The 17,353-nt window shown below is 37.8% G+C and overlaps 1 protein-coding gene across 4 annotated transcripts in view; it reads right to left on the reverse strand.

Moving 5' to 3' along the window:
- Positions 1 to 17,353, reverse strand: part of CHST9 (carbohydrate sulfotransferase 9) — a 278,828-nt gene that overhangs the window by 124,025 nt on the left and 137,450 nt on the right. The window lies entirely within an intron of this gene.

Raw genomic sequence — 17,353 nt, forward strand, 5'->3', positions numbered from 1 at the left:
AAAGACGGCGAGATGCAAGATCAGTGTCTGAAATAAGTGCTTCTTTTCAGGATGCCCTGCATAAAGCCTTGCCTGTGCGGAGGCAGCTTCCTGTGCACTGCCGGCTGCCGGGTGTGCTTGTCCATGTGCCAGACCCCCTGTGCAGGAGAATCCAGCACTTTAGAGCACGCTTTGTGTAAAATAGAGTGAAAATCGAATCATATTCGGGGAGTGTCTGAGAGACAGGACTAGCTCAAGAGGCAGCCTCTAAAGTGAGAATAGCACTGAAAAGGGGTGGAGGGCCTGATCCCAGGCCTGATTCTTCAGCGATCTCATGGGAAACCCATTCATTCAGCTTCTCTGAGCCCTCATTCCCTCACCTTCACCTATACAATGCTTTAATGTCCACTTCAGCCTTGAGATTCTAGGAAATAGGGCAAAAACAAACAAACAAGCTCTTCATTATCATGCAATCATCAAGATTTTCCTGTTTATATTGTATTTAATAGTCCACCCCACCCCCATCCCATAAGTGTTCTCATATGTGTTACTTCATGTAATTCTCACAACAGTTTCCCAAGTATGGTGGGCTTACTGGCTGGCATGGTAGCCTGCCTTAATCTTGCCATACTATTTCTCTCTCTCAATTATTTCACTCTCACCTATACTTGATTCAGTTCCAAATATTTATGCAATCTTCGCTTTGACCTCTCCTGAACTTCAATTCTGCTTCTTCAAATTCTAGCTTCCACATCAGTGTCCCATTGTTGCCTCAAGTGCAGCTGGACTTGAATGAAACTTGTAATCCTGGTCCCCAAACCACCCACCCCTCTGAACTTGCACAAGTGTCTATTATATGGACACTTCTTCCTGCCATTCCGGCATGCAGCTTTGACATATCCCCCCACCATCTCCTCTCCCCAACACTTGCTTCCAGCCACCTTTTGATCCTTTCTTTCTATATCTCATAATCATTCTTTTTAGCTTTTCAGCGCTGCAGCATTCTGGCCAAGGTCCTTAGCACATCAAATTACAACTGTCTGCAAGCTGGTATCCCTGGCTTCAGCATCCATTTTCATCTTAATTTATCCAATGAATTGTTTTAAAAATTGTTTTTCCTATGCTACACTCCTCTCCAAAAACCTTGCTTTTTCCTTTCACTGTTACAGGATCCAGTATAACTGCATTAAATACAATCTCTGCTTCCCTGTGTAACTCAGAATTCTCTACAAATTCTGAAAGTCCCCTGAATAGGCCACTTCTAATCCCAAGCTTGAAACAGCCCTCATCCTTCTGTTTGAAAAATTCATATAGATTCTTCAAGATCTAAGATGGTTTCTTCTCTCAGTTTCAGAGTGGCCATCCTCTGAACTACAGCAGGCATTGCTCGTTGGGAGGAAGGCAACGGCACAGGCATGAGCAGCATGCCAGGCCAAGCCCTTTATATATACATGAACTCATCTGCTCTTAACCTTACCACGCATGCATCATCACTGTCCCTACTTTAGAGGAGCAAATGTGGCTCAGAGAGGTTAATAACTTGTCTAGGTCACAGATTTGCCAAGTGCTGGACCCAAATCTTGGTGGTCGGGCCATAGAGTTTGTGCTTCTAACCTTTACACCACACGATCTATCAAAGCTTCTGTTGCTCTAAAAATCCTTTTGTGCCACTGGTCTCTAGCATTTGCAAGCTCCTTAAGGGAAGGCTCTTTGTCTCTGTGCTCTGTAGCCTGTGACTGGCACACAGAAACACCCCGTATGTGAAGCCTTAGAGGTCCAGAGATGGAGTTTAGCAGTAGAAACAAGAGCAAACCCCTGACAGTGTCTCTGGGCTCAAAACACACAGAGACATACACCTTCCTTCTTGATCTTTCCTCTACTCTGACAAAAGTGCTGACTGCATATTTCATAGATCAGAAAAAGAGTAATACTACTAATAAAAATACCCGATACATTTCCACATTTCAGAATGTGGGCCAGATAATGAAGAAAGGTCTTTGAACAGTACAGCCTCCGTCCTTCCCTCTCTTCCTTCTTTTCTTCCTTCTTTTGTCACTTGCTCAACAAACATTTGTTTTATGCACACCCTGTGCCAGAACAACGCACCTCAGGGTTTGTTACTAATGGTTTCTACTGAGCTGCTAAAAGACAGAGCCAAGTGATATTAGGTGATTACCAAAAGCAACAAAAAAATTGCTAAAATGTATTGTGAGCATACCACCAGGTAGACATTAGGCAAGGGCTTGGCAGATATTATCTCACTTAATCCTTATTAAAACTCTATGAGATAAAAAGATTATTATCTCCATTTTACATATAAGGTGAGAAAGGTGAAGGTCATAGGACTCATAAGGGACAAGCAAGGATTCTAGTTTGGGTAGTTTGAAACGAGAGCCTGCACTCTTACCCTTTACACTTGACTTCCGCCAGAAGTAGATACAGCTTTGCAACATACCAGAGGCATATTTAAAATTAGTTTCATATCCTTTGAAAATAGCTCCATAAACAGTATCAGGGTACAACAGGAATGCCTCCACTATCATCACACACTTTACCTGAAAGCAGGTGTTCCCAGGGCTTTATTCAATTCATTTGTAAAATTAAAAATTAGCACCAAGCAATCTCCAGAATTCCTCCCAGACACAGACCTTGTATTATTCCAGAAAGGCAGCTGTTGGGCAGTGAGTGTTCACTAATCTTGGAGTCAGAATGAGGTTTCTTTGAATAGCCCAGCACCCTTGCTATCAGTTCCTGTCACCGTGGTTTGTACCTATTACTTCCAGTTTGTCATCTGCTGTCCTCAACTGTCTGGTAGACAATCACCCAACCCAAATAATCACCTGGATATACAGTGGTCTGTCCTTTACCCCACCCCTTTCATACACGCAGTTCAAGATCAACGTCTCAGTTTCTGAGTTCTTTATCATCCTGCTCTGTGGTTGCAGGTTTTGCTCTTTGGATGTGAGACTTGCCCTTATGTCCAATATTTCCTAGTTGCAGGTCCTGGCTGAAGAGGAGCTACTTCTGATAAAATGATGCATCTGATTTGGAAGGATGTTTGCGTCATTCCCTCCCTTCTCTTTTTCTCATTTTCAAGATTGCTTTGCTCACCAGCATGACACACATCAAGCTTTTTCTTTTGATCTGAAATAAAGTCTCTTTTTGTTTTTTATGCTATGGGCCTTTTCTGGGTAATCTCATTCATTTTGTTGGCTCTAATGACAACTATATTAGCACTGGTGACTCCTAAATTTCTGAACTGTATTTCTTACCTGAGCTCAAATAAGAATGTGCCCAGAGCACATGGCCTCAGGTTTTCCACGAGCACCAAAACAGAGCCTATCTAAATATGAAGTCCTCCTCTTCCCTTCCAAACATGCTCCGGCTCCTGTGCCGCCTCTCAGGGAATGTGGCACTCAGTCACTCAAATCAGGGGCCTTGGAATTCCTCTTGCATTCCTCCATTACTTACATGTCATCGATAACCAAGTCCTGTTCATTCCTTCTTCAAACATTTCTCAAATCCACCCACTCCCCCATCCGCACTGCTGCTTCCCTGTTTCTAACCTAGATAATTGCAGTAGATATCCAAGAAGCATCATTGCTTTGGTAGCTAACAGTCATTTCAAATTTAAGATAAATAAAATAGAAATCTCCTTTTATCCTCAGCCCCCCAAATGGATCCTCTTGTGTCTGCTGTATCTCAGCTAATAGTATTATTCACCAGCTTGTTCTCAGCTTAAATCTGGAGTCATCCTTTATCTCTGTTTTCGTATCCTTCCACATCCACTCTATCAGCATGTGCTGTCAGTTTTACTTCTAAAATCCTTCCTAAATCTGACAGCATCTCATTATTTCTACTGAAACCACCTTGGTCTCGGCCACTTCATTTTTCTCCTGGTTTACTTTAACAGCTTTCTTAAATGGGCTCCCTATCTCCACTTTTTTCCTAAAATCCCACCTGTGTCAGAGAGCTTAAAAAAAATTTCATTACCTGGCTTAAAATTGTCCAGTGTTTATTTTTTTCTCAATGCAATTATAATAAAATCCAAACTGCTTCCCACAGTCTATAAGGCCCCATGTAAGCTGCATGCTGCCACACGTTCACCTTTGCTCACCATGCTCCAGCCATGTCAACTTTCTTTCTTCTTCCTCAACCCACCAAGCTTGCCCTGCCTCAGGGCCTTTGCACTCTTCTCTCAGATCTGCTCAAGGCTGGTTCCTTCATATCACTCAGGATTTAGCTCAAATGCCTCCTCCTCAGAGAAGTCTTCCTCTCCCATTCTGGCTAATGTGATGCCTGTCTACAACTCCTCAGAATTTAATTTTATCTCTTCTGATGGGATAATTACCATAGACTGATGAATGTGTGTGTTCTTTTTTAACTAAAAAATTGAAAGTGGAAAAAGTTGAAAGCTTTTTTTCTTAAAATAGAAAAATACAGGCCTACTGAAGCAGGTTATTTAAAATTAGAGAAAAATAGTTTAATATATCTCTTTGAGATGCTGAATTCAATTCTTTTGGCTCTACATACCCAGAAATGGGATGGCTGGATGATAAAGTAGCTCTATTTTTAATTTTTTGAGGAATTTCCATATGGTTTTCTACAATGGATGTACTAATTTACATTATCACCAACAGTGTATTAGGATTCCCTTTTCTCCACATCCTTGCCAACACTTGTTTTCTTTTCTCTTTTTGATGATAGCCATTCTGATAAGTGTGAGCTAATATGTCATTGTGGTTTTGATTTGCATTTCCCTGATGATTAGTGGTGTTGAATATATTTTCATATACCTATTGGCCATTTGTATGCATTCTTTTGAGCAGTGTTTATTCAGGGTCTTTGTCCATTTTTAAATCATGGTTTTTGTTGTTATTTTTTGCTATGAAGTTGTATGCATTTCTTATATAATTGCAGCATTATTCAAAATAGCTAGGATATGGAAACAATCTAAATGTCTACCAACAGATAAATGGATAAAGAAAATGTGAGACGTGTGTTTGTGTGTGTATTCCATTGTTTATGTGTGCACATATATACATTTTATATATGTATATGTATTATATATGTGTACATATAATATATAATGCATTATATATAATGCATACATAATGGAATATTATATAGCCTCAAAAAAAGAAGAAAATCCTGCCATTTGTGATGACGTGGATGGACTTGGAGGACTTTATGTTCAGTAAAATAAGCCAGAGGCAGAAAGACAAATTCTACATAATCTCAATTATACGTATAATCTAAAATTGTTGAACTCATAGATATAATTATGCAAGATGAATAAGTTCTAGAGCTCCAATGTAGAGCATGGTGACTATAGTTAACCACACTGTATTGTAAAATTTAAAATTTGCTGAGGGTAGATCATAAGTGTTCTCAACACACACACATGCAAAAGGTAATTATGTGAGGTGATGGATATGTTAATTAGTGTGATAATGGTGATTATTTAACAATGTATGCAAATATCAAAACATCAAATTGTACACCTTAGATATATATAATTTTGTCAATTATACCTCAATGAATTTGGAAAAAAATAAAAATATATAAAATGCTATATATATATCTATATTCATGTGCCAAATTCAAAAGTACACACCCTTTTTCCGAGTGTAACAGTACGTATGATATTATGAATGCAGACCGAATACAGACACTGGATGATTCAGGTTGGTGAAAAGAGAGCAAGGTGCATCAGCTCTTCCGATGGGACATGGAAGAAGCAAGAGTCCTGCTTCATAGGTAAGTCTCAAGGCTGAGGATAACTGGACTTCCACCTCTCCTTTATCTCCAGTTCAGGAAAGAAAGAAGGATGGACAATTAAAAAAAGAAACAAATATCTCTTGCTTGTCTAAACTGTCTGGAAGACACAAACTGATGTGGCAATCCAACTAGACCTCTGGGAATACAATGTAACCTAGAATTAAATAACGTAACCTAGAATTACATTACAGGGTTTCTATAGAAGGAAATACAGAGGCACAGGTGCTGTGTTTTGTTTTTGTTTCCCAACATTTTGTTAAGATAATTTTCAAACATGCTGAAAAGTTGAAAAGCTTCATTTCTTAAGATCATATTTCTCCCACTTCAGGCAAAGCCAAGCAACATCAAAACTTCCTACCTGCCTAAGACCAGTATATTCTAAATCTCTAAGTGCCTGGGACCAAGGACTGGGCCACGACATGATTTTTGACATTTTGGTTACCTTTTTAGTGTGCTTATACCTGCAATGAGCCAATCACTCTTGCTAGATAGAAAGAGACTATTTTTTTTAAAATTTTATTTTATGGTAAGAACGCAACATGAGAACTGCCCTTTTAACAGATTTTACATGTACGATACAGTATTGTGAACTGTAGGTATGATGCTGTCCAGTGGATCTCTAGAACTTATCAGGGGCTGCAGGGAGGAGGAAGTGGGGAGTTGCTAAACAGCTGCTATATTTTTGTTGGTTGAAAAAGCTCTGAACTAAATTTTGTCTTCAAGTCTCCTTACACCACTGCTGGGAAGAACATCTACATGCTTATTGGGCACATTTGTTTTCTGTCGTTTAGAGAGGTCCTTCATCAATGAGTATTGATTATTGTGTCACGTAGTATATTGCTCATACAAATTCTGAAGTCAAATTGTTTTTAAAAATCTAAATTGGTCACATCTTAGCCTTGGCGTTTACATTTTTTTCCAGCAATATGAACTGAGTGGTCCCTCATATCTGCCATCTTCATAGCCAAACCTGTTACTTTTCACCCAGAAAAGAAATCTTCCTTTGACATTTTCTCATGAGTAACGATAATGAATTTGATAATTTACTAGTGGAAAGGGTATGATGCCTAACTTACACTGAACTAGATCCTATTGTGTTTATACCGGGCACAACTCAGTGGTCTCTGAAAAGACAAACAAATGCCTGGGCATGGTGGCTCACGCCTGTAATCTCAGCACTTTCGGAGGCCAAGGCAGGAGCATCACTGGAGCTCAGGAGTTCAAGACCATCCTGGGCAACATAGTGAGACCTTGTCTTTACTAAAAATAAAAAAAATTTAGCTGGATGTGGTGGCACACGCTTGTGTGTCCTTGCTACTCAGGAGGCTGAGGCAGGAGGATTACCTGAGCCCAAGAGGTCTAAGCTGCAGTGAGCTGTGATTCTGCCACTGGATTCCAGCCTGAGCAACTGAGTGCAGAGAGAGACCCTGTCTCAAAAGCAAAACAAAAGAAAAAAGACAAACAATGCAAGCTGATTGGAGACACCTGTTTGCTTATTTTTGCCACTAATCATTATACGTTATTTAAAAGCAAGAGATGATTAAATCCATCTTTCAGGTCATTTAGTTAAGTTTTTTTTTTTTTAAATTTTTACAAGCTCTCAAGGTCTTTGACTACTGCCAATTCTCAAGCCATTCAGATAAGAAAGCATTGCTGCCAAGTATGTATATTAAATGCTTCTTCAGAAGTTCACTGAAATTCAAACATTACAACTATAATTAGGATACCAAGAATAGGACATTACTGGTACTTTAATGTGAAACCAGGACCTAATACACATATGTTGGGAAGTGTTATTTAAAGACTTCTGCTATGGGGTTATATTTAAAAAATTGATTATCTCTCTTTTTATTCTCTCTCTTATGAAAATGACAAGAATTGTTTTTTCTTATGTTTTAGATAAACACTAGAAAAGTAAATTTTAAAAATGAATTCATGTCTTACTTTAAAAAATATTTTGTACATTTGCATTGGGTTAAATAAAGAAGATAACTTTCTGTCCAGGTGCAGTGGCTCATGCCTGTAATCCCAGCATTTTGGGAGGCTGAGGTGGGCAGATCACTTGAAGTCAGGAGTTTGAGACCAGCCTGGCCAACATGGTGAAACCCCGTCTGTACTAAAAATACAAAAATTAGCTGCGTGTGGTGGCATGCGCCTGTAATCCCAGCTGCTTGGGAGACTGAGGCAGGAGAATCACTTGAACTCGGGAGGTGAAGGTTGCAGTGAGCTGAGATCATGCTCCAGTCTGGGTGATAGAGCTAGACTCAGTTTCAAAAAAAAAAGAACTTCCAGCAAGGGCTTCAGTTCTGCAGTGTCCACTATGGTAGCTGCTGGCCACATGTGGCTGTTGAGAACTTGCTATGTGACTAGCACAACTCAGAAACTGAATTTTTAATTTTAATTAATTAAAATGTTACTTTAAAATCTGAAGTAGTGTAAAGTGTTTTTTTCATTAACCATAACTTTATTGTTTCCATAGACTACATTTTTCTTCAATGATTGCATCATGTAATCTACTATTTTCTATTATAATACACATGTTCAGCCTATCTATCATTTCTAGCATCTAATGAATAATTTCTTATATTGATAGCATGCTGCAATAATACTTTCAATATCCTGGCTTAAATAATATATCATTAAATTAATTTCCCCTATTGCATTTTGCTTTTTGAAATGCAGCTTTTCAAAATGTAATTTATATATATGGCTTACATTGTATTTTTATTGGATATTGCTGATCCAGAAGAAAGCGACAGAGTAAAAAACAACAGCAACAACAAAAAATACACCAACAAGTAAATAATGATGAAATCTGGAGAGTCTTACAAATTTACTTGTTCTTTCTGCCTAAGTTAAAACCTTGTAAAGTACCACATGATCCAGCAATTCTATTTCTGGGGTATATACCAAAAAAATGGAAAGCAGGGTCTGAAGAGATATATTTGTACACCCATGTTCACAGCAGCATAATTCAAAATAGTCAAGAGGTGGAAGCAACTCAAGTGCCCATTGTTGCATGAATGGATAAATAAAATGCAATATATACATACAATTGAATCAGTCTTAAAAAGGAAGGAAATTCTGGCACATACTACAACATGGATGAAATTTGATGTTATGAAATTAGCTAGTCACAAAACCACAAATATTGTATGATTCTACTTATATAAATTACCCAGAGTAGTCAAATTTATTGAGACAGACAGTGAAATCGTGCTTGCCAGGGACAGAGGGATGGAAGAATGGGGAGTTACTGTTTAAGGAATACAGAGTTTCAGTTGTGCAAGATGAAAAGATTTCTGTGAATGGGTGGTGGGGACAGTTGCACAACAATGTGAATGTACTTAATGCCACTGAACATTTTTAACACATAAACATGGTTAAAATGGTAAGTTTTATGTGTATTTTATAATTTTAAAAAATAAATAAATAATTTTTAAAAATCATATAGCTATATTGCTCCTATTGCTGCAGAAAGATATAGTCCATTTCAAGTTACCATGAAGGTTAAGGAAAAATATTAAATTTAATGTACTTCATATTTGCTTATCTATATGTCCTGGGATGAACATTTTTAAATGGCAAGAAAGCTAGCAGATTAGGTAAGAAAAATGGCCAGAGAAAACAAGATAAAAGTTCATTAAATAAAGTCAGGTTTTGAATGTAGTGTTTTGTTTGTCTCTGGATATCAGTGAAACAGAGAACTATTCGTTTTCAGAGAAGGCTTGGTAAAATTGCATTTCGGGGACTTTTTGGAGGAGGAAAGGACTATATCTGACTGACAAGTACAGATTGTTTCTATACAGTGTGAAATGTATTAGAGATTTATAGTCATACTAATAACTAGGCCATAGTAAAGGTGTGTAAGGAAATGAAGGTAAGCTAGGGTAGACGGACATTTGCCAAGGACTCAAAATGTAATTTATATATATGGCTTACATTGTATTTTTATTGGATATTGCTAATCTAGAAGAAAGCAATGTTGGAAAGATGTTCAAAGAAAGGCATGGGGATCATCCCACCCTTTAAATGGTCCAAATGGAAGCCAAGATACTGGATCACGTCTAAGAAAATTTAAATATGCTAGCTACACTCAATAATGTAGTAATTCATGGTCATCTGTAACTCCTCAGTGTGAATTAATTAATCAGATCACTCAGCTGCTTCTGAAAGGGACCCCTGGTTCTGGTGTCCCCCACAACAGGTACCTCCCTTTGTGGGTCTCTCTGTTTTCCCACTAAAGCTTAGCCTTTCTTGGAATTCCTCCAACTGCCACTCAAGTCATAACCTCACTTCTGGGGTGAGTGGACTTGAGGTGTTTCATGTTTCCTTAGAGTTTCATGGCTTCTCTGTTGTCCTACGAATGCTCTTATCTGGGGATTTTCAGTTAAATAATCAGACAATGTATATGATTGATTTCTATACTGCATGGCTCAAGTGACATACATTCACTTTAGAAGGTTTTAAGTTGCACAGTATACAAGTATATCATTTACAGTTGATTAAAATGTTTGTGGTCATTTCTATTTAAAAGAACAAGTTAGGCATCTGTTTCTTGGTTAGAAATAAGCACCTCATTTTTTTACCCTGTGTGAAAATCAGGTATGACTTAACACTCCTTGCACAAGCCAGGCTGAGGATCTCTGATATTCTATTTCTGTGTGCATTTGTAATCCTTTGTTTATACAAATGACACTTTCAGCTAGTCAAAATATGCATTTACCTAGAATGCTCAATTACAGGTCATGTCACATAAGAGTGTAGTTACTGTCATTATTATATTGACTGATACAGAGATACACACACCTAGGTTGCCCTTTGATACAACTTCCACGATAAATTAGTTGATCATTCAACACATACATATGAGCCTAATAGCATGAGCCCAATTTTGTCAAGACCTGCTTCGTCTCATGCTGCCTTGATGAGATTTGTCATCTAGCTCTTGAATATTCATTTTTATTTGAGTTACTTTCTATTTCAATTGGGAATTATTTGTGATTTGTGTTTGTAATACCATATTTAATTGAAGATGAAAGTGTAAAGTAATTTTTGGCTAACACCAACTATGAAATTATTCTCCACTTCCTCTTCTGGGTAAAAGAAACACATACATGTTGTTTGTGAAAGAGTCAACACAGATTAAAGTTTCTCTTTTTCAGTTACACAAGGAGGCACCCTGTGAAATTTATTGTGATGCAGCTGAAGATAATACTTCTCCCCTGCCACCTAAAGAAAGCATGTTTCCAGTCTCAACTGTGAGCAAATAAATCCTGTTTGGTGTAGTATAATAGCAATCCAAATTAAACATCAAATATGTGGAGGGAATTTCAGGTAGATGTGTTCATATCTGTACTTTGACTATGTGGTGTGACATGGCAATTTCTCCTTCATTAGCTACTTAGCATTTCAGATTTGTCTAGTCTGCATACACACACTCCTTTAAATGCAGTGTTACACGATAAAATTTAAGGTATTTTAAAAATAATGTGGCACAGCTGTGTTGCTATTTAATCTCTATCATAAATTCGACTGGCTGGAAAATGAAATTTGTTTAAAGATAAAACCTGTAGGACTTCTTTTAATGAACAGCCCAAGTGTAAGTCTTCCATTTTGAGGAAGGGAAAACGCATCTAAGAGACTTCATTTCATTCAATAATAAATATTGTTCCGAAACCATAAACCCAGAGAAAATTGGTTGCTTTTAAAAATAGACTTCATTAACATAGTTCAGAGAGCCAGGTCTTCAGGAAAGCTGCTTAAAAAAGCAAACATGCTGGAGATGGATTGCCTGGGAGGCCGAGGCAGAAAATTGGTAGTTCAGAACTACAGGATGGAAAAATGTGAGACTTTGTTTATACCAACCTGGGCCACTGGGCATAAGATCTTAGGAAAAAATATTTTGCTTCTTTTTTCAGCAATTCCTTGGGGTCTGTGTTAAGCCAGATGTGGATCACAGGTCTGGGTTCAAGTCTCAATTCTGCCATCTGCTAGCTAACCCAAGTGACCTTGACCAAGTCACATAGCAGGGCAGTGCAAAATGACCAGGCTTTGCTATCACACAGACCTAGATCCAGGGGCACACTGGTCAATGTTTAAAACTGAATGAACCCTGGTTTGTAGTGTTTGCCAATCTCCATGTGTAAATACTCCCACCATGGCCAATTTTAAGCTACCTGCATGACCTCACTGAATGCAGAGCTGGGAAGAGAGGAGCACAATCAGTTTTCTCCAGACAGCTTTCCAGATATTATAAGCTGGCTCCAGCAAGCCACAGCCTAGGTTCCATTTCTGGTTCCACCAGTTAATAAATGGGGCCTAAAGCAAGTAATTTAACCTTCCCAATCTCAGCTTTCCAATTTTTAAAATGTTGACCATAAACAAACTTTACATGTTCATTTAAAGGCTCAAATAGAAGATACTGGGCGCAGAGCCTGAAAATAGTGGTTCAATAAACATCAGTTCCCCAACTTAATGGCCTAAGGATTAAGCTCTTCTCTCTCTATCTCTCTCTCTCTCTCCCTCCCTCCCTCTCTCTCTCTTTTATATCTTCTTCCTTCTCACTCTCCTTCCTTTCACATATTCCTTGAAAGAACAAGTCTGCATTTGTCTTATATTTGCTCCCCAACCCCTTGTCACTTGGTTTTCACTTACAGAATTCCTCCAGCATAATTTCTCTGTGGTGATGAGTAGATATCTCCCTGCAACTCCAATAGATGTTTTCAGTGCTTATTTTACTTGCTCACTCTGTGGCACTGGACAGGTTTGACCAGTCCCTCCTTTTAACTTTCTGTCTTTCTTGGATTCAGAGACAGAGAATGCTGTTGATTCTCACAGGACAGCTTTGATTTATCTTTCCTAGGGTCTCGGTCTCTGAGTTATCTTACTGTGTTCTTTGTTAATGTTGGGGATGTTCTAAGGATTCAGCCTTGCCTTGTCTCTTTTCTCACTCCTGACTGCCTTTGGAGCTCATTCATATCCAGGGCTTCAACTCTTATCCAGGAACCAATTACTTAAAAGGCAAATCTGCATCTCTCTGAAGTTCTAGGCTCTATTGCCCATAACCTACCACTTATTTGACATTCTTGACAAAATTCTGTCCCCATATCACACATGCCACATTATAATCAACATAGATACGACTTAATTTATTATTTTCTCCACCAAACTTGTCTCTCTCCCCGTATTCCCTACACAGGTTGCAGTATACATCTCTTCTCTAAGGTGGGAAACCTAAGAGTTATCCTCCCGTACCTTCCATATCCAACCAGGTCAGTTTGATCTTGTAAATGTATCTGGATTCCATTTTCTTGGCTTCCTCTCTAATGTCACTGTCTTAGTAAAGACACCTCAGACCTTCATCCTGTTATTCTTGGGTAATTAAAATGATATGCTTCCTGATTTCCTTGCCTCCCGTCAATTTCTCTTCCAATCCATACTTCCGCTGAGGTTTTTAGAAACCTCTCTCCTGGAGAGATTTTTAGAAAATGCAGATGGATTCTGTAATTCCTTGTACTTCATTAGCTTTCAGCACTTACTGCATGAAGTCCAAACTCCATGGAACGGCATAGATGGTCCTTGTTGATTCTAGTGTGTGCCTACATTTTGGCCACATCTCCCACCTCTTGTTTATGACTCTGTTCCAGGCTTATTAAATCACTAAGCTTTCCCTCAATAGGCCATGCCTTTTCCCACTACCTTCATCTCTCTGGCAATGTCTCTTTCATTAACTATTAGGTGTTTCAGATTTGTTTAGTTTGCATAAACACACTCCTTTGGACAGCGAGCCCTTCCCCCCCCTTTATTTTAACCTGGTAAACTACTCCAATTCTTTCTTCAAGGACTGACTCAAGTCTCGCCTCTTCCAGGAAGCCCTCCCTGAAATTCCTCATGATACCTTGTACATCATTCTCTAAAAGGCACTCTTCACACCATGTTGTAATCATGTGTACTTGCTTTTCTCCCTGAACTGAATGTGAGTGAATTAAGGGTATTTATCCCACATCTTATTCACCTTTGCATCTCTGATGTTAAGAACAAGTCCTGGACCATTAAAATATTTATCAAATTGAAAGTACCAACTTATAAATACCTCAGATTCCTTCTCTGCCCCTTTTGTGGTGCCTGAAGTGCTGTCAAGAAAATAGCTTTTATAAGCTACGAACAAGTTAGGATGATAAGCATTTTAAGCTTGATTCTAACTGGAATAATGATTCTCAAAGTGAGAATGAAACATGTAGATATTGCAAAATACCAATGTCCAAAATAATGGGCTTTTCAAGGATAATAGTTTGCTTAAATGTATTTGTCACAATGTCTTCTACCTGCTAACTTCATATGTTTAATGTTGGTCACCAATAATTAAAACTATGACAAAATAGGTCTTTCTCACTCTTGATTTTTAAGTTTTTTTTTGATAGTGTATAGGAACTATGTCAAAAACACTATAAAAATAGAAATAGCCTAGAGAAAAATCATGCTAAATGTGCTAAATATTATTTGCATTCAATAAATGTGACATATAATAAAATGAACATGTTATTCATGCACAGATGGAAGATTTTATTCAGTATCTACTTAACTATTTTTTTTATCCTGAATGACTGCATGTTCAACGTGTGTTAAAAAGTTTTAAAATGGAGGTGCCATTGCTGTTGTAGAACATTTCCAAGCATCAACACACTCAGTCAAAAAGTAAGCCGCAAGGGACTGAGTTTGCAAAGCAGATGTTCTACATTTGCTAAATTTCCAATAATGAATTTCACCTTTTGAGTTGAGAAAAAAAAAAAAAAACCATTGTTCCTCTCTGTGGGTAGCTTTTTGCAAATGATGTAAATGAACAAACCATTTCTAACTTTAGGGATGCTCTAATGTAATAAATGAAAAGTACGCAATTGATTTCTCCATTCTCTGGTCCACTAGGGCTATTCTTTCCATTATACTTAACTGAATTTGAAAGAGTTCTTCTTTTTGGAAATGTTGGAATATAGATTTAACAGATGGTGTTCCCCTAGTTTATGTTAGTAAGCATCCTAACATACCTTTTTCTAAACAATAATTTATAATCCACTTTTCTTCACAAGAATTCCTCTTTGCACTTTATGCTGTGTTGCTTTCTAATATCGAGAATTCCATGGCCCACAAAGAGGTCTTTCTTCTGATGAGATAAAGGTACTTCAAACAATGAAGTTTTTACATAAAATCTATGAAATAGCTGATCTTTTTAAAAATTTTCCCGGTAAAGAGAATCAAGGGAAAATAGAAAATTGATGACATCAGGTATTTGCCTCCTCATATGTATCCACTTATCATTATATCACCATATATTTTATAATATTCTTTACCAAGCCAAATCGCCAAATTTAGTTTTGATGTTTCTAACCATATTCTATGACTATGACATAGACTTTCAAGCTTAGTGTCAAGGAGGATATAATTTGAATGGGTTTTCAAAAATGACAATGAATGATACCAAGTGATACATACTCTCTTGTGAAGTTATTTCTGGCTTATGAAAAATAGCATCACACATGAATCAATAGCCCGGACTGCAATCAGTGTAGACGGACTCTAAATAGAAGTCACTAAATAGACTACAGGACAGTTTTATTCCATAGTCCTGGCACCATCAGCTAGACGCTTTACTGAGAAACTCAGTCGAAACTAAATTAGTGTAATCTTTGGAACATGATTCACTCAGTTATATAATGAAATGAAAGCCACTTAAGTTTTGTTGACCACCATTATACATAGTAGAGCCATTTCAATTAAGTGAAAATGGCAATAGAATCATAGACACAAAATTAGAAAAAACGTTGGCAATGATTTAACCAAACTCTTTATGAATCTCTTGTCAACATTCTTTTAGGGGGTGCCCAACCCCCTGCACATGTTTACAAACATAATCTCATTCTTTCCAATGCTAGAGACGTTTCCTTGTTAGGAAGTTATTTCTTACCCTGAATAAAAAGTTACTTCTGTGTAGCTTTCATCTTAGTGCAAGACTCTTTAAACAAAGAATTAACCTTAACCAACCAAAAAATGAGGGTCTTGGTAGGTCCCAGTTTTAATAGGAATATTCTGTCTAAAATATTTTCTAATTTTTTTGTTTCAATTATTATACATTTAGTGCAATAGGATAGGGTAGATTGAAATGGTCCAGAACCTAATATTGGTCTTTCTTAGCCAGGAGATAAACTCAGCTGTAAACAAGAGGGTGCAGGGTATATAGTAACTGGGGAGGCAGGACATAGAACCTGAGGAAAATGAACTAAGATGTAAAAAATTCCAAGCAGGAAGTCAGAAATAGGAGTTCCCATGATGTTTTTGGTATCTTAGCCACACACTTTATCTAAAGAAGTCTACATTCAGGCCAGTACCACAGACTGATTGTAGTATTTATGACTATAGTGGCAAACAGTATGTTCCAATCTTGAAAACTCAGACTATTGTTACAAATTTAGATTTCCTGATGGCGTGATTTGTTGTCATTTGAAATGATTAGGAGCCCCCTAACATTCCCCTAGAATATGGGCTCTATCCATTAGTTATCCTTAACCTCACCCTCTCATAGAAATCAGGCAATTGACAAGCTACAGATCAGATAGGGCAAATTAGTAAAAATTCCACTAGTAAAGGGATTTTTCTCATAGCCCTGGTGACCTGTGTTCCCTATCAAAGATGCTGTTGCCTTAAAGATTTTCCATTTGTTGAAAAGTGTTTTATTAAGCAAGTAACTGAACAAAGCATTAAAGTGATTAGCACTTTGTTTTGAAAAGAAACGTTAGCATGGTGGGGGTGCAGGAAAGGGTAGGGAGTGGAGATGCCTGAGTCCTTGTCCTGCCTCTGTCTCTAACCTTGGTGTCACCTTGATCACAAATAATTTCAGAAGCCATGACTATTGAGGGAACCTAATGAGGCATCAGACTTAACACTTTGGCCAACTTAGCTTTCTTCCAAACTGTGCATTTTCTTTAACTAAGAAGGTAGTACATACAGCATTATGGAAATAGCATTTAGAAGCAATTTAGAAATTATTTAGAAATAATTTCTCCCCCAAGGAGCAATAATGAAGGTAATCATACCTGTGAGGGACTCAGACACTTTCTTGCCTTCATAATTGTGTGTGTGTGTGTGTGTGTGTGTGTGTGTGTTCATGATCAGGCTTTAAAAGGTTCCCAGAGAATGCAAACAATAATATTTAACAGGAAATTCATGCAGGTATTAAGTTGCCCACTTATCTGAAATGAATGCTAAGATTGGAAAGGACAAAAGAGACAGAAGCTTATGCTGTTTATACACTTTTAGATTAAGATGGATCTTTGTCTTCTATTGACTATGCTGACTCTTTGGAAACACACATAATATCTTATTACCAGACAGGAAATGAAGCTAAAAGAAGCTAGTGGATGGGAGTGATTGGTAGCTCTTGCTTATCACAGGAATAGTGGGTTGGTAGAAACTTGGGAAGGATGGCGGGCATAGGTACACATGCCAAATTAGCGTTCTCTATGATTGTTGGCAATTTCTGGGCACTGTGAGCTGCAACACTGCTCCTATGCAAAGATCGACTTGGTAAATGAAAATCTAT

The sequence above is a fragment of the Homo sapiens genome, chromosome 18 (genome assembly GCF_000001405.40).
Source record: "Homo sapiens chromosome 18, GRCh38.p14 Primary Assembly".
NCBI classification, from domain to species: domain Eukaryota; kingdom Metazoa; phylum Chordata; class Mammalia; order Primates; family Hominidae; genus Homo; species Homo sapiens.